This window comes from Homo sapiens, chromosome 6 (genome assembly GCF_000001405.40).
Source record: "Homo sapiens chromosome 6, GRCh38.p14 Primary Assembly".
NCBI classification, from domain to species: domain Eukaryota; kingdom Metazoa; phylum Chordata; class Mammalia; order Primates; family Hominidae; genus Homo; species Homo sapiens.
The window spans coordinates 39404055-39429204 of NC_000006.12; the positions used below are offsets into that span (position 1 = coordinate 39404055).

Genomic DNA, 25150 nt, shown 5'->3' on the forward strand with positions numbered 1-25150 from the left:
TTATATTCTGTATAGAAGTCCTTTGTGAGATATGATATCTGAAAATATTTTCTCCCAGTCTGTCACTTGTCTTTTCATTCTCTTAACAGTGAATTTCACAGACCAAAAGTAGTTAATTTTGATAAATCTGATTTATTACTTTAATTTTATTGGTTGTACTTTTGGTATGATGTTTAAGAACATGTTGCGAAACCCCAGACATGAAGAGTTTCTCATACTCATTCTTCTAAAATTTTATAGTTTTACATTTTCTACTTAGATCTATGATCTGTTTTGACTCAATTTTTGTATATGGTGTAAGATTACATTGAGATTCTTCTTTTTTCCTTCAGTACATGGATATCCAATTGTTTTAATATTGCTTGTTGAAAAAAACCCTATTCTTTCTTCATTGCCTCGGCAGTGTTGAAAATCAATGAACCTTACAGGTGTGGGTCTGTTTTTGGACTCTGTATCCTGTTCCATTGATCTACATATCTATTCTTTTGCCAGTGTCAACACTGTCTTAATTACAGCAGCTTACAGTAAGTCTTAAAATTGTGTGGTGTGACTTCTCCAGCTTTATTCTTCTCTTATAAAATTATTCTAGCTATTCTAATTCTATGGTCTTTCCATACAAATTTTGCAATTACCTTCACTATAGCTACACAAAGTTCTGCTGGGATTTTGAATAGAACTGCATTACATTTAAAGGTCAGTTTAGGGAGAATTGACATCGTTCCTATATTGAGTCTTTTAATCCATAAACATTTTTTTGCCTCCATTTATTTATGTCTTTTTTGATTTTTTTTATTAGAGTTTGTTGGGTTTCAATGTAGAGATCTTCCATATGTTTTGATAGTTTTATACCTAAATATTTCTCTCTGTATTTTTTGGAATTACTATAAATTATATATTAGCATTTAATATATATATGACTATAATATATTTAAAAGTATAAAATAATATTTAATTTTGGTAAACAATTATTACTAGAATGTAGGAATATAATTGATTTTTATGTGTAGACCTTGTATCCTACAGTCTTGCTAAACTCTTTTATTGTTTATAGGAGCTTTTCTGTAAATTCTTGAAATTATCTAAGTAGACAAATACATCATGTGTGAACAGGGACAGCTTTACTTCTTCCTTTCACATTCTATGCCTTTTATATATTTTTCTTGCTTACTTGCAGTGTCTAGGACTTTCAGTACTGTATTAAACAGGAGTGGTGAGAGTCAACAACTTTGTCTTGCTGCCGATCTTAGAGAAAAGCATTAAGTTATTCACCATTAATTATGATGTTAGCTGCAAGTTTTAAATAGATGTCCTTCATCAGGTTGAGAAAGTTCCTTTGTATTCTAGTTTGCTGGAGTTTTTATTGTGATGAATGCTAAATTTTATCAAATACTTTCCTGTGCCACTTTATACGATCATGAGGTTTTTCTTCCTTAATCTATTAACATGGTGGATTATATTGATTGATTTTTGAATACTGAACCAGAATTGTATTCCTGAGATAAGCCTCACTTGGTCATGGTATATTAGTCTTTTTATATATTGTTGTATTCAATATGCTAGTATTTGTGTATATTTATGGGGGATTTAGTCTATAGTTTTCTTGTGATGTCTTTGTCTGGTTTGGGATCAGGATAATACTGGCCTAATAAAATGAATTGGGAAGTGTTCCCTCTTCTGTTTTCTGGAAGAGATTATATAAAATTGGTGTTATTTCTTTTTAAAATGTTTGGTAGAATACTACAATGAAACTCTCTGGGCCTTCATTCTTTTTGGGAGACTTTTAAGTATGAATTCAATTCCTTTAGTAGATGGTATGAAACCATTCAGGTTATTTATTTCTTCTTGAATGAGTTTTGGTAGTTTGTGACTTTCAAGGAATTTGTCTACTTTTATCTAAATTGTCACATTTGTGTAGACTGTTTATAATATTCTCTTATCCTTTCAATGTCTGTAATGATATTTCCTCTTTCTTATTTATTTTTTTTTGATATAGAGTCTTGCTCTGTTGCCCAGGCTGGAGTGCAGTGGTGCGATTTCAGCTCACTGCAACCTCCGCCTGGGTTCAAGTGATTCTCGTGCCTCAGCTTCCCGAGTAGCTGGGGATTACAGGGGTGTGCTACCATATTCAGCTAATTTTTGTATTTTTGGTAGAGATGGGGTTTCACCATGTTGTCCAGGCTGGTCTCAAAGTGATCCGCCTGCCTCAGCCTCCCATAGTGCTGGGATTACAGGCCTGAGCCAGCTTGCTAGGCTGATATCCCCTTTTTCGTTCCTGGTATTGGTTATTTTGTCTTTTCTCTTTCTTTGTCAACCTGGCTAGATGTTTATCAATGTTATTGATCTTTTCAAAGAACCAGTTTCGGTTTCACTGATTTTCTTTATTGTGTTTCTCTTTTGTATTTTATTGAGTTTTGTTCTTATCTTTATTATTTCCTTCCTTCCACTTGCTTTGGAATTATTTTTGTTCTTTTTCTAGTTTCTTAAGATGGAAGCTAAGCTTGTTGATTAGATCTTTTCTCTTTGCCACTATATGTGTTGAATGCTATAAATTTCCCTCTAAATACTGTTTCAACTGCAGCACACAAATTTTGGTGGATTTTATTTTTATTTTCCTTTAGTTCAAAATATTTCTAGTTTATCTTGGGACTTTCTTTTTGAGTCTTAGGTGATTTGGAAATGTGTTGTTTAACCTGCAAGTATTTGTTGTTTTTGGAGACAAGTTCTCACTCTCTTACCCAGGCTGGAATGCAGTGGCACAATCATAGCTCACTGTAGCCTCAAACTCCTGGGCTCAAGAAATCCTCCTGCCTCAGCCTCCTAAGTAGCTGGGACTATAGGCATGTGCCACCATGCTCAGCTAATTAAACTTTTTTCTTTTTTTTGGTAGAGATGGGGTCTCACTATGTTGCTCAGGCTGGTCTTGAACTCCTGGCCTCAAGTGACCCTCCCACCTTGGCTTCCAAAGCACTAGGATTACAGGCATGAGCCACTGTGCCCAGCTTCAAGTAATTTTGGATCATATCCAGAACATGTTCAGGGTCTTATTTAAATTCTAAAAAAGACTCCTGTTTTTTTTTTGTTGCCGTTTAAGCAGACAATCAGCCTGATTAGGTTCAGGTCACAAATTCCAATAAGCCTTCTTTGAGCTGTGGTTTTTTAATTTTTCCTTTTTACAAGATTGCAGTATTTACTTCAAAAAATACATTGCTTCATAAGCTTCAAAAATAGACCTGGCTTTGCTTTAGATTACTGATGCAGGCACTTTATAAACTTTATATCTTTGATGTCCCTTGCCTATTAAGATGCCCCTTGATGTCTTTTTGCCTGTTGAGTTTATTTGGTACATTACCCATTTCTGTAGTCATTCCTTAATTATTTGCTTTTGTCTTCCAACAAAAAGGAGGGCCCAAGGATCCTAGTGTTTGCTAATGAGTTGCTAGGTTCTGCTACATTCCAGTTATTTATTAGGATGTCTTCTAGACTTCAGCATCATCTCAACATGTGTTAATATGCTGTTTGGCAAAACAACTAAATTTTAAAAATATTCATGCATCATTGGTAATGTCTTCAATAAGGATTAAATTAATAAAATCAGTCTTTACCTCATTACGAAACATATATTTTCAGCAGTAAACTCATCAGACTTGTGGTCTGGTGCAAGTTTTAACCATCTGTATGCAGGAGTCATTTATTCATGTAGTGGTTAGTGGTTCTGAAACAAATGATCTGAAATCACCATCTCTAGTTTTGATCTGGACATGTTTTTAGTGACAATCAGTGTAGTGTGACCAAGGTTACTTTAAATATCTTCCTTGGGCCAGTGCTATAGTGAGGTAGAGTCAGTACCTCCCAATTTAAAGCAACTTGAAAAACAGAAAAAAGCAACTGTCCTAGGGTTCTTCCAAAAATCATAAGAGAAAATTAAAACAAGTGACAGACTGGAAGAAAACATCTGCTACGTATTCTATAGACAAAGGCCTAATATCCAGAGGACACAAAGAGCTCCTACAACTCAGAAAGAGAAATTCAACTAACCAATGGGCAGAGAATATGAGATACATGAAAAAGTATTCAATTTCACCAGCTCTTAGGGAAATGCAAATGAAAACAATAACGAAATGCCATATTTTGCTCTCCAAATGGCAAAAACTAAAATGGCTGATATGATCATGTACAAGCAAGGATGCAGGGAAATGAGTACTGTCACACACTGGAAGGAATATAAACTAATGAAGCTCTTTGGGAAGGCAACTGGGGAGTAGTCATGAAAGTTAAAAATACACGTATACTGTTGCTCCCCCTAATTCTACTTCTACTCATCTATCGCAAAGAAACATTCACATTTGTACACAAAAATGCATGCACTGTTTGTAATAGAGAAAAACTGGAAAAAAAGGTGAAATGTCTGTTACAAGAAAGTAGTTAATAGTATTTACATAGTTTATTTCACCATAAAAAATGGTGAGTTTCTCATTTAACATACTCACTGTTAAATGAGAAAAGCAAGGGGGCAGAATGATACTTTATGGTCCTATTTATGCAACAAAACAAGATATCTTTGTACATAGGTGCCTCTCTCTCTCTCTCTCTCTTTCTTTCTCTCCAAATGCACAGAAGAGGATGGAAGGAGATACATCAAATTGTTGAAAGTGGCTACTCTCCTCTGGGGCAGGGGCATGATTGGTAGTAGGTGAGAGAAAATGTGTGGGCTGCTTACATTTTGCTATGTATATTAATGTATTGTTCAAACTATGGCAAAATGTACCCATGAATCACTTATGCAGTTAAAAAGAGACAAAACCCACCACCCCAATGAATCTATGACTTTCTGAACTCCAGATTAAGGGAGAGAACCTAGGAAGGAAGGCCTGTCCTCCCTTGACTAACTTAGTCCTCTTCCCGTTAACCTCTCTGCCTCTTTCCTTTATTGTCAGCTCCATCCCTTACTAGCTCCATCCCTTACTAGCAATAAAGGAATATTGCGTATGAATATGAGCAATATTCATAAGTTTCAGTTTCTTCATCTGTAGTAGGGGTATTATAATAATAATAGTGCCTCTATCAAAGTTAGCTATTATGATGATGACGGGGACTCTACTTCTTTGACTCTTGCTGGCCTACGGTCTGTGCTTAGATACACAGTCACTGGCAGTGGGCTTCTCTGTTTGCCACCAGTCCTTTCAGGCAATCCTATCTCTGTCCAAGCATTGACACCTGACTTTGGGAAGTCCCCATGGCACTCCTAGTTGAAGTCCCTGGCCACCCTTTTGGCCTTGTTCAGGTAGCTGCCAGGGTCCTGCTGTTACTAGTTTTGCCACCGAAACTGCCTGGGCTGGGCTTTTGTTCATGAGATGCCTCATCAGTGACATAGCCTAGATGTGCTTGGGAGCATCTCTGCTTTTTCAATGTTGCCCAGTGGCAGTCATCTACCTGCCAGAAGGGGAGTGCTGAGTCCCTGAGGATGGACAAGTGTCTGCGTGGTGTTTCACTATCTCCTCTGAAGGTCTGTGCTTTAACAAACAGCTTGCTGTAGGGCTGCACATGCATACTTTTAGGCTGGCTTCAATAAGTTCTGGTGCAGACTATGTGTTAGAGAGCCAGTCTGGTCCACAGGATCATGTTACCACATGAAGCCAGCACCAAACTGAGGCCGTCTCCATGCTGAGTGGAATGGCGGCTGCGAGGAGGGCTATTCCCACCCTTGTGTGTTCTGCTTTTGGAGGCTCTCAGTGGATTTCAACAGGGGGACTCATCAGTGTTTCCAGAGTAGTTGACAAGAGACACAGCAAACCTTCTGCTATTTGCAGGTATTCCCTGTTCAGCATCACTGACAAAACCCTCTTCCCCACCTCTGTCCCAGCTATAAATGTTCATCCTTCTAATCAATACAAGACAATAAAACACACTTTTCCTTCTTAGAAGTGAAACAACAAATTACCAACTATCTGCCCTGGGCAAATCAGTCAGTGGAGCACAGTTCCTGCTGGTATATTTAAAGAGAGTCTCCTTCCTTTTAGAGAGTGCCGAGAGGGCCTCAGCCTGGAGGGACCACACGCTTACCAATATGCCCCTGTGGCTCTGCATCCAGGAGTCCTGGTTTATATACAGCTGCCACTTTTCTGCAGGGTTATTCTGATATCTAGATAATAATATCTGCTGGCAAAGTTATTTTTGAAATACTTGAATGAAAATTATCATGTCAAGAATGTACATTACTACTACGATGAGATTTAGAATGCATCAGCTGCTTTCTGAAAATGTGAAATGACTCTCCCATAAGGGAAAGAAATTTCATTTTAAGGCATTTCATTAAAATGAAATAGGTGTTGAGAAAGTTGGTTATTTGAAAGAGATTCAACTTAGAGCCTCAGCTTACATACCATATTCTATAATAAATCCTAAATGAGTTGAGTGTGAAAAATTGAACAATATAAAAAACACTATAAGTAAATTTAGGAAGGTATTAAACAGATCCCTGACAATGAACAACCTACCATTATTATTATTACATTGACTGTTTCTAAATATGAAAGCAATGGAGGAACTCATAAAAGAAAAGATCAATGGATTTGACTGTATGAAAAATAATAATGTACTATAAATTATAATGTACCTTACTAATCACTATTACTACTGGTAAAACAAAGGGGCAATAGTGAGTTGCTTCTTTGAGAACCTGGAAATTAAGGAATTGATGTCACCTAATAAGAGCTGAACTAGCAAAAAATCTTCACACAGCTCTCCCTGAGATAAAACCAAGAGCATATGCGATATCAATTATTGCACCTGTCCTACCTATACCCTTTTTAAAAGAGAGAGCTTCCTCCCCTTTGCTGCCTAGGTGACCACTTTCTGACATACAAGACCTCTTTTCCTCCTTGGTCATAGTTTCCTGGACCAGAGGTGGGTTCCTGACCCCAAAGCAGCACATGCTTAAGCCTGCCAGCAGCTACTGTCCTAAAGGCCTAGAAAACACAAATTGGTCCAGTCAAATTCTCTTTCTCATACCTTTGAGCTAAGAAATAAGCAGATAAGTAGCTCATTAGCCTTGGGGACTGGATATTAAAGGATATTTTCAGGTACAGCTGGGACCAGGGAAGACCAAAGCCATGAGGAAGTGGGACTATGGTCAGCAGGGCCAGCCGGTTACAAGAGCAGACAGGCACAGAGGGAGCAAGAGGCGCTGAGGGAGGCCTGGAGGCAGAACGCTGGGCTCTAAGGCCACCCTGGGTCCTCTTGGCTCTCCAGGTCCTGGTTCCAGCTCCTATTACAGCTTGGAGGGGCCTCAGATCTTATGATCGTATCTTAATGGGATTCTTGTCATCACCACACATGTATCCTAACCCTGAGCTAGCTCATCAGGTTTATGTTTCTAAAATCAAAAGAGCCAAACTAGAAGTGATTGTTTCTGTGACCCCAAATCCTATGAAAAGTGACTTGCGGTTCATCCTGGAGAGGTAGGAGTGGGATAAAATTATGGTTTAGTAAGAAGAAGCCTCACAAATGGTGCTTTACTGTGTCTGGTGAAAGAGGTATTGTGTGCAGAAGGAGGCTGGTCAGCCTGGAGAACAGATGAGTCAGGTTGGCAATGGTGAGTGAGCACTGTCCAGAGAAGGCAGGGATTGGACCAAGGCCTATCATTGTTGCAGGAATGTTCACTGCTGTGAGCAATGGAAGCCTTGTGAGGCTTAATTGTGACCATGGGAACCTATCTCTCCAAACTCTTTACTTCTCTTAGTTTTGATTCCCTTTGTGCTTGGAGAGGCTCACTTATCAGCCTTTCAACAACTAATCTAGCTTGTTTCCTGGGAGGATGTGCCATGGATAGAGGTGGTTTAAGAGTTCCTGGCTATAAAAGAACATCCACCATGGTAAATAAATAAGTTGTCCCCCTGATTTGCAGTCCATTTGACGGGCATGGGTCAGCATTCCTCTGTTCTCCTAGCCAGGTCGTGGACCTTGGTTCACTCACTAAGGCAAGACTACTCTGTCAGGACTCTTGGAAGGTAGCCATCCATCTTTTCTTGGTGGCATTCCAACCAAATCATTGCTTCCTTCTCTATATATGATAATTATTAGTGTTCAATCTTGCTAGTGAAGGTACACTACAGCCCTCCAACTTGCTTCAAATCATTTTTTTTGTTTGATCTCCAAACTATGACAGCAAAACATTAAATTTCATGAAGATATCAGTCATACTGGTTATGGGTTGTTACTCAGATAACTTCATGTCTTGGAATATTCTGCAATTTCAGTGATACCTGAACTGTTACAGAGAGACCTTAATAAGTCATCTTTGCTCTTTTCGTCTCTAGATACCTGAGTCATCTCAGAAAGATGCTTTTGTGTCTTGCTTTTCAAGAGTCCCGTGATCTCTATCATTTAATAACCTTCTTGTCAAAATGTTCTTTCACGTGATCAAATACATTTTCAATACAATTGCAAATTATTTCTTCCTTTTTGGAGTCTCTTTAAAGCTGAATTATAATTTATTGGTCCTTCTGTATATCATCAAGTAATACACAGTCGGTTCTCTTACAACCATGTTTCTTTAACAGGAATTATCTCATATGCAATTGGTTAACAGGGAACTGATGTCAGTGTAATACATAGTCTTATTTGTTCACATAGGATTTTCTCCTCGTATGTTAAAATTTTGCACCACCAAGTAAAAACAACTGAATACAAAGTAAGTTGGCACAGCTGAGCCCAGGAAGCTGTGGAGAAATGCAGGACTGAACTGCAGCCCCCTTGCCTCCATGTTCCTTTTTGTGGTCCAGCGTGGCTGGGTGCTGTCTCTTAGGGGGGGCTTATCGTGCTGCTGTCCCCCATCTCTGCACATGATGCTCATGTCTCCATCTCTCAGCAGCCTCAACCCTTCCTTAAATCCTCTTCTATCATGATAACCTTATTTTGGAAAAAAAAAATCTGATGTTTTAATAATAGATTGTGTTGCCTTATGTATTAGGAATTTAGCATGCCATTTTTATCATTATTTTTAATAGGGTTGTAATTGGTTTTGTTAGAGTTAAAGCAGTGTGGGTTCTGAGTGGTCTCCCTCAGTCTTAATTTTCCTATAATCCCCGAGTTTTCAGTGTGCCATTTTGTATTTGTTCCATTATAGCACCTATACTTAAATCCAATCTTTAAGCTCCCCATTCACAGCTTTCTTTTTTCCAGGATAAAGAAGTCTAACTGTTGTCTTTTCTCATAAGAACTACCTCCCATTGCTTTACAGATGTCTCCTATTTCAGGCCATAGATAAATTTCTGTAAGGTCTGTAGTAAACATAATTTTTGTGTGCTTAGCATTTCTTCCTTTGGAGAAAGATACCTGCTCTATTCCTTAAAAATTTTGTTCAGTTTATGTGGTGCAGATGGGCTAAGCACCTGCCTGAGGAGTGGGGACATGATCTAGGCCTAGTCAGTCAGAGTGTTTTATTCCCCTGGCTATAGGGATTGGTTCAGAGATGGGTACCTGACTTAAGCCAGGTCGATCATTCGTCCCTCCAATGACTTTTGCCAGTGTTGTTGGGCAAGGTCCCTTTCAACGAAGGTACGAATTCTAAAGACCACGTAAACTTGGAGTTGCCAGGGGCATCTTGCCACTAACTGGGGAGAGGCTGTCAGACAATGTAGTCAAGCAGAACTGAGACAAGGAGGGAGAGGAGAGGAGAGGAGAGAGAGATGCATTTGAAGCTAGTTGTACTCCTTAGATTCCCCACTTACCTGAGACAACACATTTCCTTCTATTCTTACAGTCAAACATTGTAACCAATGCAAGTTGGGTACAAAAAATTAATTGAAGTTTTTGATAAGCGTAATTTTAAAAATCAGACAATACTCTAGTGCACTAGCAGAGTGTGTTATTGAAAATAAATGTGGTGAATCATTTAATAAATCAAAAATTACTTTGTAACTTTTAAATCATCTCTTTACCTGCTTTTCTCTGAACCATTTCTATTCTTGTAGGGATCTGGAATTACTGAGGAAATGCAGTATAATGTTGACATGGAAATGCTGGGTAGAGGGAAGGGATGACATCTTGGCTTTTATATTTCTTACTTTTGAGAATATAATATTTTTTTTTACTTTATGGTAACACATTTTGATTTTCTGGTCCCCGATGACTCCTCTGCCTGCCCTTAATCAGGCTTTCTCGAGTCCTTATTTGTGCTGGTTTTGGTACATAAGCATAAATATTTCATTACACCTATTCCTACTAAACCACATCTACGTTTATGCTTTGAATTCTTTTGTATTTTTTGAAGCATCAGTAAACCCACTCAGTTGGAATTGTATACAGCCTGAGAATACAACCCTTCAACTCTATTCTCCAAACCACTGAAAATGATAGTTGAAACACATGTGGGACACTGAATCCTACCACGGCTGCTGCAAACCCATGGGGGACCTTTGTGCAAACTAGAAAAAGGTGTGCCTTCCTATGGGCAGATGTAACGCTGAGTGGCGCACATGGGATGGAGAGCAAGGGCAGGCTGGACTTCAGCCCCACTCACTGCCACAACTGGGCCCCAAAGTGCCAAAGATGACCTGTCATTAATCACGCTACAAAGAGACTTTTAATTTTCGTGGGCTATGCTCAAAGCTCCTGAGCTAGGGTCTAGTTTGAGCCTTTTGTTAGGCATATCGTGTAGGATAAAGGCCAAAGAATCAGGGAAACTGAATAACAACTGAGAGAAATTTAAACTCAGAAGACAATGTCAAAGTCAGGTAAATGTGAATTTATGGAGATCATATATAGTGTTAAAAAGTTCTGGAGTTGGACAGAAATTCTAGTCTGGCCACTTACAAAGGCCATTTCACTGCAACTCATTGAAAAAAAAAAATCTGGCCAGGTGTGGTGGCTCATGCCTGTAATCCCAACACTTTGGGAGGCTGAAGCAGGTGGATCACAAGGTCAGGAGTTCAAGATCAGCCTGGCCAAGATGGTGAAACCCTGTCTCTACTAAAAATACAAAAAATTAGCCAGGTGTGGTGGTGGGCGCCTATAATCCCAGCTACTCAGGAGGCTGAGGCAGAGAATTGCTTGAACCCGGGAGGCAGAAGTTGCAGTGACCCGAGATTGCGCTATTGCACTCCAGCCTGGATGACAGAGTGAAACTCTGTCTCAAAACAAACAAACAAAGAAACAAAACCTATAAAACAGTGAAAATACCATATTTCATAGAATCTAAGACAATGTCAACTAGAAGACCAATCGCCAATACAGAGATTTTTAAAATGTAAAAAAAAAAAAAAAAAAAAAAAAGGCCAAATGGGACGGTTAAATACATCCCGACAACACAGATGTTAAGAGTGTAAAAACTGTGTCCTTAGAATCTGTGACATATATGGTAAAACCCACCTTACAGGTGTGTCTCCTCCCTGTGAGGATTAAATGAGATAACATAGGTCAAGTTCTCAGGCCAGCCTGGAGTAAGTGCTCAATAAATGCTGAAGGCTGCTGTTACTGCTGGTGTTGTCCTTGTAATTTGGAGCTGGCAACAAATAGTAACAAAAGGATATACTTGATCCGGGTCATCATAATCTAGCAAAACAGCCTGGATGTTGTCTTTTCCTTACTCCAGGATAAGTTACAAGAAGCAGACATGCAGGAGGTAGGTCCAAAAGTAAACCTCCAATGACGCTTAAGTACAGAACATGCACAGAACTGACAAATAGCAAAAACAGTCTGGTTTATTCTGCCGACAGAGACCCAGATCTGAGAAATGATTTTCCCAAATCCCAGATGTACAAGAGAAACATTTTTTAAAAGGGCATTGGTCAAATGGTGGGTTGGGGGGTTCTTTGAATTTGGAGTAGGGGGAAAAAAACTTCCAGAATATTTTGCTAGCTTTTCTAGTGTTTGTTTTTCTCTTTCTTTGCCTCTCACTAACAGCTTCTTCTATTACATTCCCCGTGATTTTTGAATTGATTGCTGAGTGCCTCACTAGTGAAAACCCACTGTGCAGCCTCCTGTGATGTGAGTTTTCATTTAGGCCTGGAGGGGTCTGTGGAGGGATGAAGAGGTGCCAAGAGGTGTCAGTCAAGCTCTTTTACCTGCCTGCAAGGCAGCTGTTTCAGGACTAGTCTGGAGTGGGCCTTAAGCCAGTGAACAGCCATTCATTGTCCTTTGTTGCCAAAGACAATGCTGCCAGTGGTAAAACAGTGATGATGTAAAAAAACTAATGCCTGGATTCTAGTAAGCAAAACCATGCCTGGCTTATGCCACTGCCTCTAAAGCAGTCTACTTCTTTTCCCAGTTTGGGCTCAGTGGCGTTTTTGGAGACATGACAGATGGAAGCAGGGTGTAAATGAACATGTGCGAAACCCCAGCCCATGTGAAGAAAAGCAGCCGAATGATCTTGTATATGGAACAGGTAGATACAATAAAAATGGCTCTCCGACAGAAACACAGACTCTTATTATTTTTCAGGGAGATTTTAAATTGGTTACTCCTCCCATTTCTTATTTCAACTTATTTCAACATCAGGATTGATGTAAATGGCGTCTAGAGAAAGACAAAAAGGAGTTTGTGGCAAGAGTTTATCTACCTAGTTGGGTTGGCTTCTTTTAAGAGAAGGAAATTATATGGAAGTTCAGACTGATTATGCCATATAAAAATTAGATATTATACAGCCACTACTAAATTGATAGCCTTTAGGGAGTTTTGAGAAGGAAGGCAGCTCAAGAGGCAGCTGTGGATCACAATGTCAGAGAAAAAACAAACTACCCGAGGAGACAGTGGCAACCTGAACTTTAAACATGTGGGCTGACTGGTTTGCAGTTCACAAATACAGCTTTTGTTTCTTCTCTGCAGGCCAATTACGTGTGTACCCCTCGGCATCTCAATCTTGCCTCAGGGTCCAGAGGCAGGATGTAGCCCAGTTTGGGAGTGGAGCTGAGGCACCATCCCGTGCAGACAGGGCAAATTCATGTCATGCTCCTGCCTCCTGCCTCCTAGATTCACTGAAGGACTCCTTGGGGACTGCAAATTCCATTTGATTTCATTTCTCCCTAAGAAAAATGCACTCACTCATATCCTAAATTTCCAGAAACTTGTGTCCTTCAAGGTTGCCTTGGAAATTTTAAATGTGTGTGCAAGTTCCACCTTCCTCCTCCTTAGTCCTAACCTGGTGTCTGAGATGTCGTGATGGCAGGCTACTCCCTGAGGTCAAGCACCGTGAGGGGGTATTCAGTAATACGGCTGAGTCTCAATGACCCACTCACCTGGGCCCCTTGGATTAGAGCACAATTTGAAAGATGGGTGGCCAGGAATGGGTCTCACTGTGGTATTTGCATAAAGTGAAGTGAAGACTGGCATTGGCTTTATAGGCATCACTGAATTAACTATGTTCTTGGCAGCAATGGAAGCTTGAATCTCAATATTGGTGTGAACTATGCTTGTTATTTTCTGGATAAAACAAATGTTTACTTGTCCAGATCTTCTCCTAGCATATCTGGGCCCTTTGAACATGAATTATAAGCAGACATCTTCTCTGGGCAGATCAAATGACAGCCCTCAGTTGGTTGGCCCTTGGCTCTTGGGCAGGAAACACCTGTGCAGATTTTAAGGCAGCCCCCAACCTGCCTAATCTTCAGAATGTGGCAAACTTGCTCCACCAACATACACGATTGCACCACAGTTATGGGGAATTTGTAGTTATTTCCATTGTACTCAGAGTGAAAAAACTAAGTATATTAGTATAGTCAATTGGTGCCTTCCATCATTAGTCTATTTCATTAATGTTGGAACGGTTTTATTTTGGTTTACAGAGTAAGATATTTTTTAAGAGCAAAAGTTTATATTATTTCTTAGGGAGAAACAGTTTATAAAAGGTCTTCTCTCTTATCCCTCCAAGGATGAAAACAGACCACTGGGTCCCTTGAGGTAAGAGGATGCTGACAAATTGGCCCTGGCTCCACTGAAGTCAGCTTCCTCTTTCCCTCCTTCTCCCCTTCAAGCCAAGTAGACTATCACTGCCCACTGTCTGGGACTGGGATGCCCCCCAGCAGAGTGTCTGCCTTCCCACCTGAAGGAGATCAGCCTAGGATCAATTTCCTTATTGGTGTGGGTGACTGGGCCCTCTGAGAATCAGATGAGCTATGGATGGACATAATCTTCAGAAAAATACAAACATTCCTAACTCCCAGTTTTTCTCATGCAGTTTTAGGATGTTCAGGAATCCAGGTCAAGAAAGGGGTTTGAAATCTTTTTTTGTGCCAGCGATCTTCTGGCAGTCTGATGACCTTACGGACCCCTTCTCAGGATAATAATTTGGTGCATAAATTAAAATACGCAGGCTTTTAAGATAAACCAATTATATTGAAATAGTTATCAAAATTGTAAAACCTTTTGTGATACAGAAATATCTATGTACTTTTATATAAATGTATTAAATAAAAAGATCTAATGGTGAGTCTAATAACCACTGTAATTTTGTACTGATAGCACAAAAGATATTTTACAACGTCTGCCCCTCTGTGATATGACATGCAGGCCTCTGTGACTTCCACTGGGTTCATCATTGAGGTGGTGCTAAGTTTCAGTTAGAGGTTAGTAGAAATACAGGGGCATTTCTCTCCTATCAAGATCCTGGACCTTAGGTCAAGAACTCCTGAGACACAAGGATTCTGAGTGTGGCTGTTGGCTGTGTCTCTGGGTCTGGCTGCCTCAGCCCCTTCTGTCTCAGGCCACAGAGGGGACTGTGGGGCTCCTGTTTACCGACCGAGACAAACTGAGGCTATCGTGATTTTTATATTCTGTTAGAAAAATTAAAGGGGGCACTCACAGTGGCTTCTGTCCTGTCCTCACTTGTAGGCGGAGAAAAGGGGGTAGTAAGAGAGACCCAGCGGGCCAGCTGTGAGCCAGTAACTGCTGCCTTCTCCAGCACAGAGGTGAGGCACAGGGATCGCCTCTGTGAAGCTGCCCTGGGCCTGGGAGATGGGTCTCTGTGGTATCTTTTAGTTTGGGATGAAAAAAACATTGTCCTCTTACTTTTAAAAGGATTTGAGGCTGGGTGTGGTGGCTCACCACCTGTAGTCCCAGCACTTTGGGAGGCCGAGGTGGGTGGATCACTTGAGGTCAGGAGTTCGAGACCAGCCTAGCCAACGTGGTGAAACCCCATCTCTACTAAAATCACAAAAATTAGCTGGGTGTGATGGCATGCACCCATAGTCCCAGTCACATGGGAAGCTGAGGCAGGAGAATCACTTGAACCTGGGAGGTGGAGGTTGCAGTGAGCTGAGATCACGCCACTGCACTCCAGCCTGGGCAACAGAGTGAGACTCTGTCTCAAAAAAAAAAAAAAAAAAAAAAGAGAATTCGAGGCACATTTTACTGAGTTGCCTCTTGCCTTAACTTCACCTTTGCAGGGGTACTCACCTAAGTGGGGAGCCCTCCGTGGCAGCCTCCACCTTGGGAAGGCACGATGGCTTGTTTTTGCTTCTTATCCTTCCACCAGCTTATTGACTGATGCTAAAATATCATACCTGTGCCAAATATGCTAAGCAGAAGCTTTGGGAGGTGTAAGAGTGTTTCCCCATACTTGAAATACGAAATGACGTCTCACTGTAACCGTGAAGTTATGATTAGCTGAGCTACTGCTGAAAAACACCAGGGAAAAGCACAACTCTCTGATTGGGATGCTGGAGCTCAGGTCTGCCTGAGGATGAAAAGTTCAAGTTCTAGACAAAAGAAAGTGCTTTTCCTGCTGGGTGGTGGGAGGGATCACACACTTCCTAGGGAAGGCTCTCAAAGCAGCTTCCTTGGCAGGGGCTCTCCTGAAACTGGCCATTTGGGGCTTCATGGCCATTTGGAGGCACATCATGACCTGATTTTCACCAGGAAAATGGTTTCTGAAAGAGGCTCACAGAATATCATCTGCTTACCAATTTTACTTCTTGCTTCATTTATACTTTCTCCCAGGGCCTTGGCTTCAGAAAATCTGGAGGGGAAAAAAATGAAAATTGTAGTTTTTCTGTTCATCCTACAAGATGTTTTAAAAATAATAGATTTCTTAGAGGTCACTAAAATATGATGAAACTTTATTGAAAGACACAAAAGAAAAATCTAAATAAGTAAAATATATTAGGCTTAAAAATAGAGAGAAAATTGGTATTAATTATAGGTATTGTTAATTTTTACTCTATCCAGCACAGAATTTGTATTCTCATAGTCTCTCATTTATGACTTTTAATTTATATTATTTCATGATGCAAAGATATCAGAATAAAGCCTGGCTGTAAGGTTTCTGTGCTGTGTTCTATTGATTATGATACCAAGATCTTATAACCAAAGAATATATACTTACATAACTTTTTTCTGATTATAAAATAATATATCAGAGGTTGTAAAACTATGGCTGGTTATGAGACAAATCTGGCCTGCTGCCTGTTTCTGTAAATAAAGTTGCCCTGGAACACCGCCACTCCTATTCACTGACGCATTTTCTGTGGCTGCTTTCACGCTACAAGACAGAGTCGACTAGATGTGACAGAGACTGCGTGGCCTACAGGGCTGAAAATATTTTCTACCTCACCCTTTATAGAAGAAGTTTGCTGATTCCTGTTATATACCGTTATTAAGCCAGATTTTGAAAATACAAAAACAAGAAAAAAATTCTCAAGTACTCCTCTACCCAGAAATAAGCACATTGGATACACGTATCCACCCCGTCTTTTATAGAGCCAGTTTTTATAGGGTTGGGATCATAATACAGATATGATTTTGTGCCCCGATGTTTTTTTTTCACTTAGCATTGTAACATAAGTCCTTCCCTGTATTATGAGATGCATACCTTTGATGGCTTCATGCTAGTCTACTAGATTGCTGTGCTAATGTTTAGTGAGTGATTCCTTTATGTTTCTGGCCTATGTTTGAGACACCCACGATGAGCCAACTTTGCGCTAGAGAAGCAGACAGGACATGGCCTATGTGAGAACATGTAGTTCAGTCCCTATACATAGTGGGCCCTCATGAAATGTTAGTTGCTTTCCCTCCTCTCCTTTCTGCCATGAAGTTAAAGAGACAATTGAAAGCCTATGAAAGCAAGCACCTAATAGATAGCTGAATTAAATGGCTGTACCTTGGCGGGGCTAGTCATGCCATTAGCGTTTGACTAGGGAGTGGCCTGTCCACGAGTGAGCGGAGAGCTGTCAGGAAAGCTTCATGTACAAGGTGGGAGTGACCTGGGTTTTGTGGATCCACAGGAGTTTTTAGAAAATGTTTTATTATGAAAATTTCCAAATATACACAGGATAGTAGAATGAACCCTAACATACCCAGTATCACATTTTATTAATTGTCCAGTTTTATTTCAACTATTTCCCCTCCTCCTCCGCACTCTTCTCTTCTCACTTCCCCATCTCTAATATCCCGGCAAATCCCAGATATCCTATTGTTTCATCCTTGAACACTTTAGTTGACTGGGATTGTGTTGGAGGAAGTGAGCAGAGGAGGGCATTCCAGGCAGGGGAACAACAAAAGCAAAGGCCAGAGTGCCACGACTGCTCTGTGTTGGATGGAAAAGAAGTGTGAATTATGTCATTGCTATTTTCCAAATCTGTCTGCTTGGCCTGGGACTGTGGACAGGAGGTTTCCAGGGAAGGGGACTAAAGTTTTTCTCAATGTTAGTTTCTTGGGACTCCGCCCCTGGCTCCCTTATTAAGGCTGTTCAGGCTCATCGTAGATTATGTATGTTCTCTCCTCAGCGACGGCCTGTCACCTTCCAGGGAGAAGTACAGTTCCACTTGATGCAATTCAGACATTTACATGATGCACAGGTCACTGTGCTGGGCTCTGTGGGCTCATATGGCCTCTGCTGCTGGGCAGGCATAAGGCGACATTTGCTGCAGGCCATTTGGAAGATGAGGACCATCTTCAACTCTCCATTCTGCCAAGGGAGGGCCTATGATCATTTCATCACTGCTCTGTCCATCCCTAGTACCTAGGATTCATAGGATCTGACAGTCACACGTTGCTCAACGAGTGACTCCTCCCATTTCCTGTTCCATAGGCTTCTGGAAGCTTTAGACTCTTCGGAATAAGGAAAATACAAGAGCAAGGGTGCAAAACTGCTGAAATTCACACTGAAATTCACATCAATGCTGGAGGAAACCAGAGTACAGATAGAAAAGGAAGACAACATAAGCAGAAGAAGGACTTTCCACCGCAGTGCTGCCCAGAGAATCCCTGACAAGCCTGGGATGGAGTCCCCCAGCCTTGGCGGTGCCCAGATGTGTCTGGGGGGCCTGGCAGAGGGAGCCGCTGAGTGCTGTGGTCAACTCTCTCCAAAGAGCCGCCCTGCTCCAGAGCTGGCAGAAACTGTGTGGAAAGCCACGAGCTGTTCCTGTTTCTCTGTTGCAGCCCAGTCCTGAGCTAAAAAGGGCTTTCCCACTGGAGAGGTGTGGTCTGAGGGCTGTGCAGTCTTCATGAGACCATTTTCCCGTCACTCTGGAAGTTGTCACCACTCCAGGCCACCCCACCCACATGTGTTCCTGATCCCTGGTTGTCAAGACGAACTCTGAAAGGCCCAACCCTGAGTGTGTAGAGGGAAAGAGCAAGTGTCAAAGGAGATGGGAGAGATGAGAAGGCTAAGGACTCGGTTAGGAAAGATGCGAGAAAGAGGGTGACCCCATCAGTGCTGCCACGTTCTTCCTGGCCCACCTGCATCTCCACGCCTCTCCAGCCAGCCCCAGTCTCCCTCCCTCCTCACTTACTCCCTTTCCTCCTGCCCCTCCGTCTGAATTCTGCTCACCTAAACTTCACCAGGGGGAGTTTCCTGCCTCCTGATTATCTAAAAGGCGCATCCTCATCCATGAGATGGCTCAGGGAGCCAACTTTTGGCCAAGGGTATGCTGCACCCCTGTACGATATCCTAAGGTGCTGCTCACTGCTATGCTGATGAGGCTGCACCTTGAGGAGGGGCAGGAAGGTTGTGTAACTCAGCCAGGACCACTGATGAGCGCCCGAGGGTTTCTTTCTATTGGTGCCAAAGCATTCCTATTAGGGCGTCGTTAGTTGTGTGGCTGGCTTTGGGGAGTGTAAGATAGCTGGGTGCAGTTCCAGTGTGGATGCAGGCAGGCTGCCATGTCACCTGCACACAAAATCCTGTGCAGGGGCAGGGGCTGGGCTTGGAAGGGAGAAGGAATGCGATGCTCTGCTGTTCTTCTACTAGCCTGGCTTCCCGTAACACCCAGCCCTCCTCAACTATGGCTCCCACTGTGTGCCAGACAGGTACTTGCAGACCCTGGGGAAATGCTCTGTTATTGGCTTCCAAGGGCCCCGGCTCTTCTGTCTTTTTCCCCCTCTCTCTGGCACCTCCTTCTCAGTCTCCTTTGCTGATGTGTTCTGCAGCCTGTTCCTTGAATGTTGATAATCCACAGGATTTTGTCCTAGGCCCACTCCTCATTTTCCCTACTCCCTGTAGGCATTCCCTTTATGCCAGCATCTCCTTGGCTATCTCAACTGTCATCTCTCAAATCTCCACCTCAGCCCTGCTTTAGTTCCTGACTCAGGTATCCAACAGCCTGTTTGATACCTTGAAGATAACTAAAATCGACTGTACCCAAAAAGAACTAATCATCTGCCCTGAACACCTCCCCTGTTTTTCCTGTTGTTCCTGTCTCAATGCACAGCACCATCACTTACGGATGGCTCATGTCAGTAACCTGCACGCCACCCTTTGCCCCTCTCTCCATTAGCGCCTTCCCTCAATCCTGGAGTCTCAGCCATTCTCTATCCTCAATATCTATCAGAGCATTCCACTTAGCTCCAACTGCCTGAGAGCAGAACGCTGCCATCTCTCCCAGATTATTGCAACCACTGCTTGCTCCTTCCCCTGCAATCGCACTGCCTGTCCGCAGGCTAGTCCCCACATTTTAGCCTGAGTGATTCTTCTTAATGCAAACCTGGTCCTGTTACTCCCCTGCTCAAAACTCCTCAAGTGCTCCCCAGTGACCTCGGGAGAAAGTCCGGATTCCCTAACAGGGCGAAGTAGACTCTTCACGCTCTGGCTCCTGCTGCCTTCTCCAGCTTCTTCTCTTCCATCCCCCACAACATTCCCAGGCAGGCTTGAATCTTAGTTTCGTCAAGTGTCACACTGTCTCTCATCTTGGGGACGTCCCCTTTACTTGGAGCCTGTCTTTTCCTCTGACTAATTTCTGCCTAACCCCTTAGTTTCCACAGTGATGTCTCCTCCTCTGGATAGCATTCCAGGACTGTGCAGGTCTACAATACATGACACCCCCAGGTGCTCCCCAGCACCCTGCACTTCTGCCATCATAAGCAGATGGCATACTATATGTGAATTGCCTGTTTACTTGTTTGTTTCCCTTTCAATATGGTAAGCTCCATGAGGACAGCAACCACATCTGCTTAATTCACTCTTTTCTCTGGGGCTTAGAACAGGGGCTTGCACCTAGTAAGCATTCCATAAATATTTGTAGAATAAAAGAAGATAAGCACGTGAGCAAGTGTGTGTGCCAAGGCAACGTGCACAAGTGAGGAGCGCTAGACTGGAAGTCAGAGTAGGACCAAATGCCTACCTCACCTCTTAGCGACTGGGTCTCAGGCTCTTCATTTCTAGGATTAGAATGAGATGCCGTCAGGGCTGGGTTGATGTGGAAAGAGCATGCATGCAAATATGTTTTGTGTGTCATAAATTCATTATGACCATGGCCTGGCAGTGTAGGAACCCCCCGTAGGGAATGTGATGGACTGTGAAGTGGGAATGTGTGTTGGAAGCAGTAACCACAGACAATAGTTTGTCTCAGCAAACCAAAGTATTAGAAAGGATCTCTGCAAGTCAATGGTCAAGGACACTCAAGATGGTTGCTGAGTTTCTCATTTTCAATGGAAATGAAAAGGATGGAGGAATTGAGGGTGAATCTGACGTTAACTTCCAAGATCAGTTCCAGAAAGAATCCCATCCTGCTGTGGGGTGTGTCAGGCGGAGATACTCATCATGACTGGGGAAGCAGCTGGCTCTGCCCCACACACCATTCACTAGGGATCATGGGCAGTGGCTGCTTTTACCCATGGGCCAAAGAGAGGGGCTGGTGTTCGTTCAGCAGCCACTCAGTCCCCAAGAGCCTCTGCAACCAGATGCTCTGTCATGCCAGCTGAGATTGCCTTCTGAGAATGGTGGGCCAATATGTGTTTGAGGGCAAAGGGTTCCTACAATATCTTTCCTACTTTTCTTGTCTAGAACAACTAACTTAATATGTTGCTTTTTCATAGAGTGAACATCCAATACCCTTCCCTGTCAGAGAGGAGGACAGAAGACTGGGCCTATATTTTGCCATTTTTTTCCTCCATAAACTTGTACCTTGTACCCTGGCTGCCTCCACTTTATTGTAATAAAGATCCACCCTTTGTTCCCCTTATGCTTTTTAAAAAATGCTAGTATTCCTTTCCCGTTTCATCTCTCCCACTATGGCCTCCCTCTCCCGCCTCCAGTTGATCAGCTCCTCCCCTGACCCTCCAGAAGCCTGCTGCATCCTCCTACTTCTCGGAAGCTGTAAAGTCTTCTCCAGCCATTTTCTTGGCTGCCAAGATTTCTCAAAGTCAATTTCAAATTGTCATTCACAAACAAAAAAAGTGTTTTTTGAGTACCTTTTTTTTTTTTTCCTGTGGCCAGCACTGCTTTTAAAATTGTGGAGAGGCTGAGAAGATTCTAATCTAATCTCTGCTCTCAGAGTTTATCATTTTAGTTCAGCAGAAAAGATGTAAATACAAAAAAAAAAAAAAAAGGAAAAATCATAAGGGTTAAAATGAAAGTCTAATGGGAGCCAGGAAACTCCTCCTCACCATGGGAGTTACCTCCTGATGGTGCCACACGGTTTCTCTCCACCCTCGGTCCGGTTTTCCTGTTGGTTTTAGATGGCTGTTTGATTCTATGTTAGAAGGATCCAACTGAGTGAAGGGGTGCTTTGCTTTGTTTAGTTTACATTTTCAACACCTTCATTTCCAATAGCAGTTAATCTCCCCATTTATTTCTTCTTTTGTTATTGAATGGGACTCTGAGACTGATGGACTCAGTTTGTATGAAAAATCTGCCACAAAAGAAAGCTTGCAGTGCCTGGGCACTGGTATTTGCCAAGCATGGGGTTTCCAGCCTCTCTTCATATTATTGTATACTATAGGGATGAGTCATGCCTGGAAAATGTGATTGTGAATTGCAATTGTTCTCTGCTGAAAAATCTGGCTTAAGAATTGGCTCACATGCTCTAGTTCACCAAAGGGCGAACATCCTATTCATGTGCCAACATCTTATTTCTCTTGTCACATACAGGCAGCACAACTTCCTCAGACTGGAGACCAGAGCTTAGAGATGCTAGAAATTCCCCGTGAGAGCAGCAAAGGGTGCAGGAAAAAGGGGAAGAAAAACCTTTCTATTAAGTAACATGGGGCTGAGTGCATTGGCTTACACCTGTAATCCCAGTACTTTGGAAGGCCCAGGGAGGGGGGAGGATCATTTGAGCCCAGGAGTTCTAGACCACCTTTGGCAACACAGAGGGACCTCATCTCTACAAAAGGTAAAATTAGTCAGGCGTGATGGCATGCATCTGTAGTCCCAGCTACTCGGTAGGCTGAGGCAGGAGGATCACTTGAATCTGGGAGGTTGAGGCTGCAGTAAGCCATGATCACACCACTGCACTCCAGCCTAGGCGACAGAGTGAGACTCTGTCTCTTCAAAAAAAAAGTAACATGGAATGAAGGGGATGGGGGAACCACTCACTGTCCCCTCCTGCAACTCTAAATCAATTCTTATACTCTGGGTCAGGGCTGAGAGAGTCAGAAGAGATTGTGGGTCACCAATAATCCCTACATTTGTGCTTAGAACCTACTTGCTATGGGGTAGAGAGGCTGAACTCATTCAAGGCTTTTGCATGGGGGCAATTAGTTCCAGCCCCTATTTAGTGGCACTTTGCCAACATAATGTCCCAACACCAGCATGGTCAGACCACAGAATTAGTCTGATGTGAGAAGTCTGGGGTGAAATGGGAGTCCAGGCTGGTGGGTCCTGGTTGCTGAGGTCTATTGGGAAGCTGAGGCTTAGAGATGAGGCAGGAAGCCATCGCTGAATTTCACCCTAAGTCAACCCCCTCCAGTCTGTGTCTGTATTCCCAGAACTGCCCATCTTCCCACAGTTGGGCCACATGAGTCCTTCCTGTCACTAGAGGGAATGGAAGCAAATGTGTGGAAGGGGCCCGGGTTACTGGAAGGGCATTTCCTAAAGTAAGGGTGGCATGGAAGTGACCCTATGAGCATCTGTGAAGCCTTCCTTTGATGTCTGTTGTTGAAACCCTGCTTATGCAGTTATTTGTTTTCATACAAGAACATTTTTCTTATTCCCCTTCCTTAAGCAGTTATGAACATGTAATATCTAATAATTCAATACTCTCCATCAATGCAAATAAGAGCTCCAATCCTAAGAAAGGGGTAGGTTCTGGGTTACATCCCCTATACCAAATAGTCCTTTAATGGTTAGTATTACAGGAACATTAGTCAGATATAGAAATTTTTAAAAAAATATGGGCTGGTCTCCTGACTTTTCATTTGATTTAAAAAGACTGATTTACTGCTGGGAAAACCTCTTTTCAGAGGAAAGGTTGTGTGAGTTTTAGTTCCCTTGCACTATGGCCACAAGGAAGATGGGATCATTGGTATTGCCAGCCCATCCTGCATAACTTAGGTATGTTTAAACTCAAAAGCACATTTGTCACATGGGTTGTCAGAACTCTACTGTACAGAGTTAAGTGAGCTCTATATTAGAAGGCTTTGGAAGACCACAACATCCTCATCCCACTCAGCCCCGACCCAAATCCCTGCTGAAAATAGACCTAAACTCAGGTTACAAACCAGAACCAGAAACAATGCCAACTTTATAATAAGAAAGATGAAGTACTATGTTCTCCCTAAGTTAGTGGTTCTTTGATTTGAGCATGTGTAAGAATCACTTGGTAATTTTTTTCTAACCTGTAGTGTTTGGGGGATCTTACCTTAGGGATTCTGGATCTCATGGTTTCTGGACACTGTCTAAGCCAGTGGTTTTCAAACCTACATGCTACTGGAATCTGCTTTTTAAAAAGAGATGCTCAGGTTGCACCTAATTTAATTAGAATATCTGGGGAGTCAGGGCCAGGCTTTGGTAGCTTTTAAAAGCTCTGTTGGTTGTTTTAATATGAAGCCAGTTACGAGTCCCTGGTGTAAGCTAAGAAGCCTCTCGTATAGACATGGCTGAAGGTTCTTTGGAAGTCTTTTGGATGAGACAGCTAGCTTAACATGCTTATCTTCAGACAGACAAGGTATCCTGCCCCAACACGTCCAACTAGCCATATTAAAAATTCATGTCTTACAACATGGATAAGCATTAGAAGGCTTGTGAAACCCTTGGATTTACAGGCTAAAATTTGTGCAGATGTGCATATGTCCCCCTTTCTAGGGAGAGAGTATTCAGCTTCACTGGATTCACTTTATTTTCTTCCCTATCCCCTTGTTTTATTCGTTTATTCATTCATTCCTTTTTATCCCCATGCCCTGCTCCCATTCTTGTGGGTAAAGTATGCTAAAGTATATCTGGGACTCATAAAGTATACCAGGGACTCATAAAGTATACCTTTTTTGCTAAAGCATATCTTTGTTTGCATGTTTTTCTTTGCTTTCTGTGGATCTATTTGTAATTTATCTGAATGATGTGATCTTACTCAGTGCTATGCTTTTAAGGTCTATGTTAATTGGTATGCATACATCTAATCCATGACTCCCACCTGCTGCGTCCTGCTTCATGGGGCATCGGCATTATTCTACCTGTCTACTTCCCCAGTGATGGATACTCAGCATGTTTCCAACTCTCCTTGGCCATGAATAGCCAAGGCTGCTCACAGCAGCCTGGAGTATGTCCCCTTATAAACATGCACGAGAACTTCTTGGGAAATAGACCCAGAAGAGGAACTGCTGGGTCACAGCAGGAAGCAAGTAGTTCTTTTGACTAGGAAGGGCTGGACTGCCGTCCATATACAGAGCCATGTACTCCCACTCCCTTCACTGGATTCCTGAATGAGCTGAGATCTGCCTTCTGGTAAAGTGTAAAAGCCAGGATGATAGTCTAGGCTGGGCCTTCGACCCTCATTGCGGTTTGCTT

At 42.2% G+C, this 25150-nt stretch overlaps 1 protein-coding gene across 11 annotated transcripts in view, besides 1 other annotated feature; it reads right to left on the bottom strand.

Annotated features, from left to right (window-relative positions):
- The window catches only part of KIF6 (kinesin family member 6), a 395419-nt gene that overhangs the window by 74065 nt on the left and 296204 nt on the right, over nt 1–25150 (bottom strand). For all 11 annotated transcript variants that reach the window (XR_001743238.2, NM_001289020.3, NM_145027.6 and 8 more), the window contains one exon: nt 15894–15949. Coding sequence is in view for 10 of the 11 variants with exons in the window: in NM_001289020.3 (NP_001275949.1) it covers nt 15894–15949 (56 nt within the window). In the remaining variant the exon portion in view is untranslated. The remainder of the gene's footprint in view (nt 1–15893; nt 15950–25150) is intronic.
- Nucleotides 12796–13296: an enhancer, noted in NCBI's record as "H3K27ac hESC enhancer chr6:39384626-39385126 (GRCh37/hg19 assembly coordinates)". NCBI's record gives its function as "activates a minimal SCP1, AML or CMV promoter by ChIP-STARR-seq in primed H9 embryonic stem cells {active_cell/tissue: H9 hESC(primed)}" and the evidence as "EXISTENCE:reporter gene assay evidence [ECO:0000049][PMID:30033119]".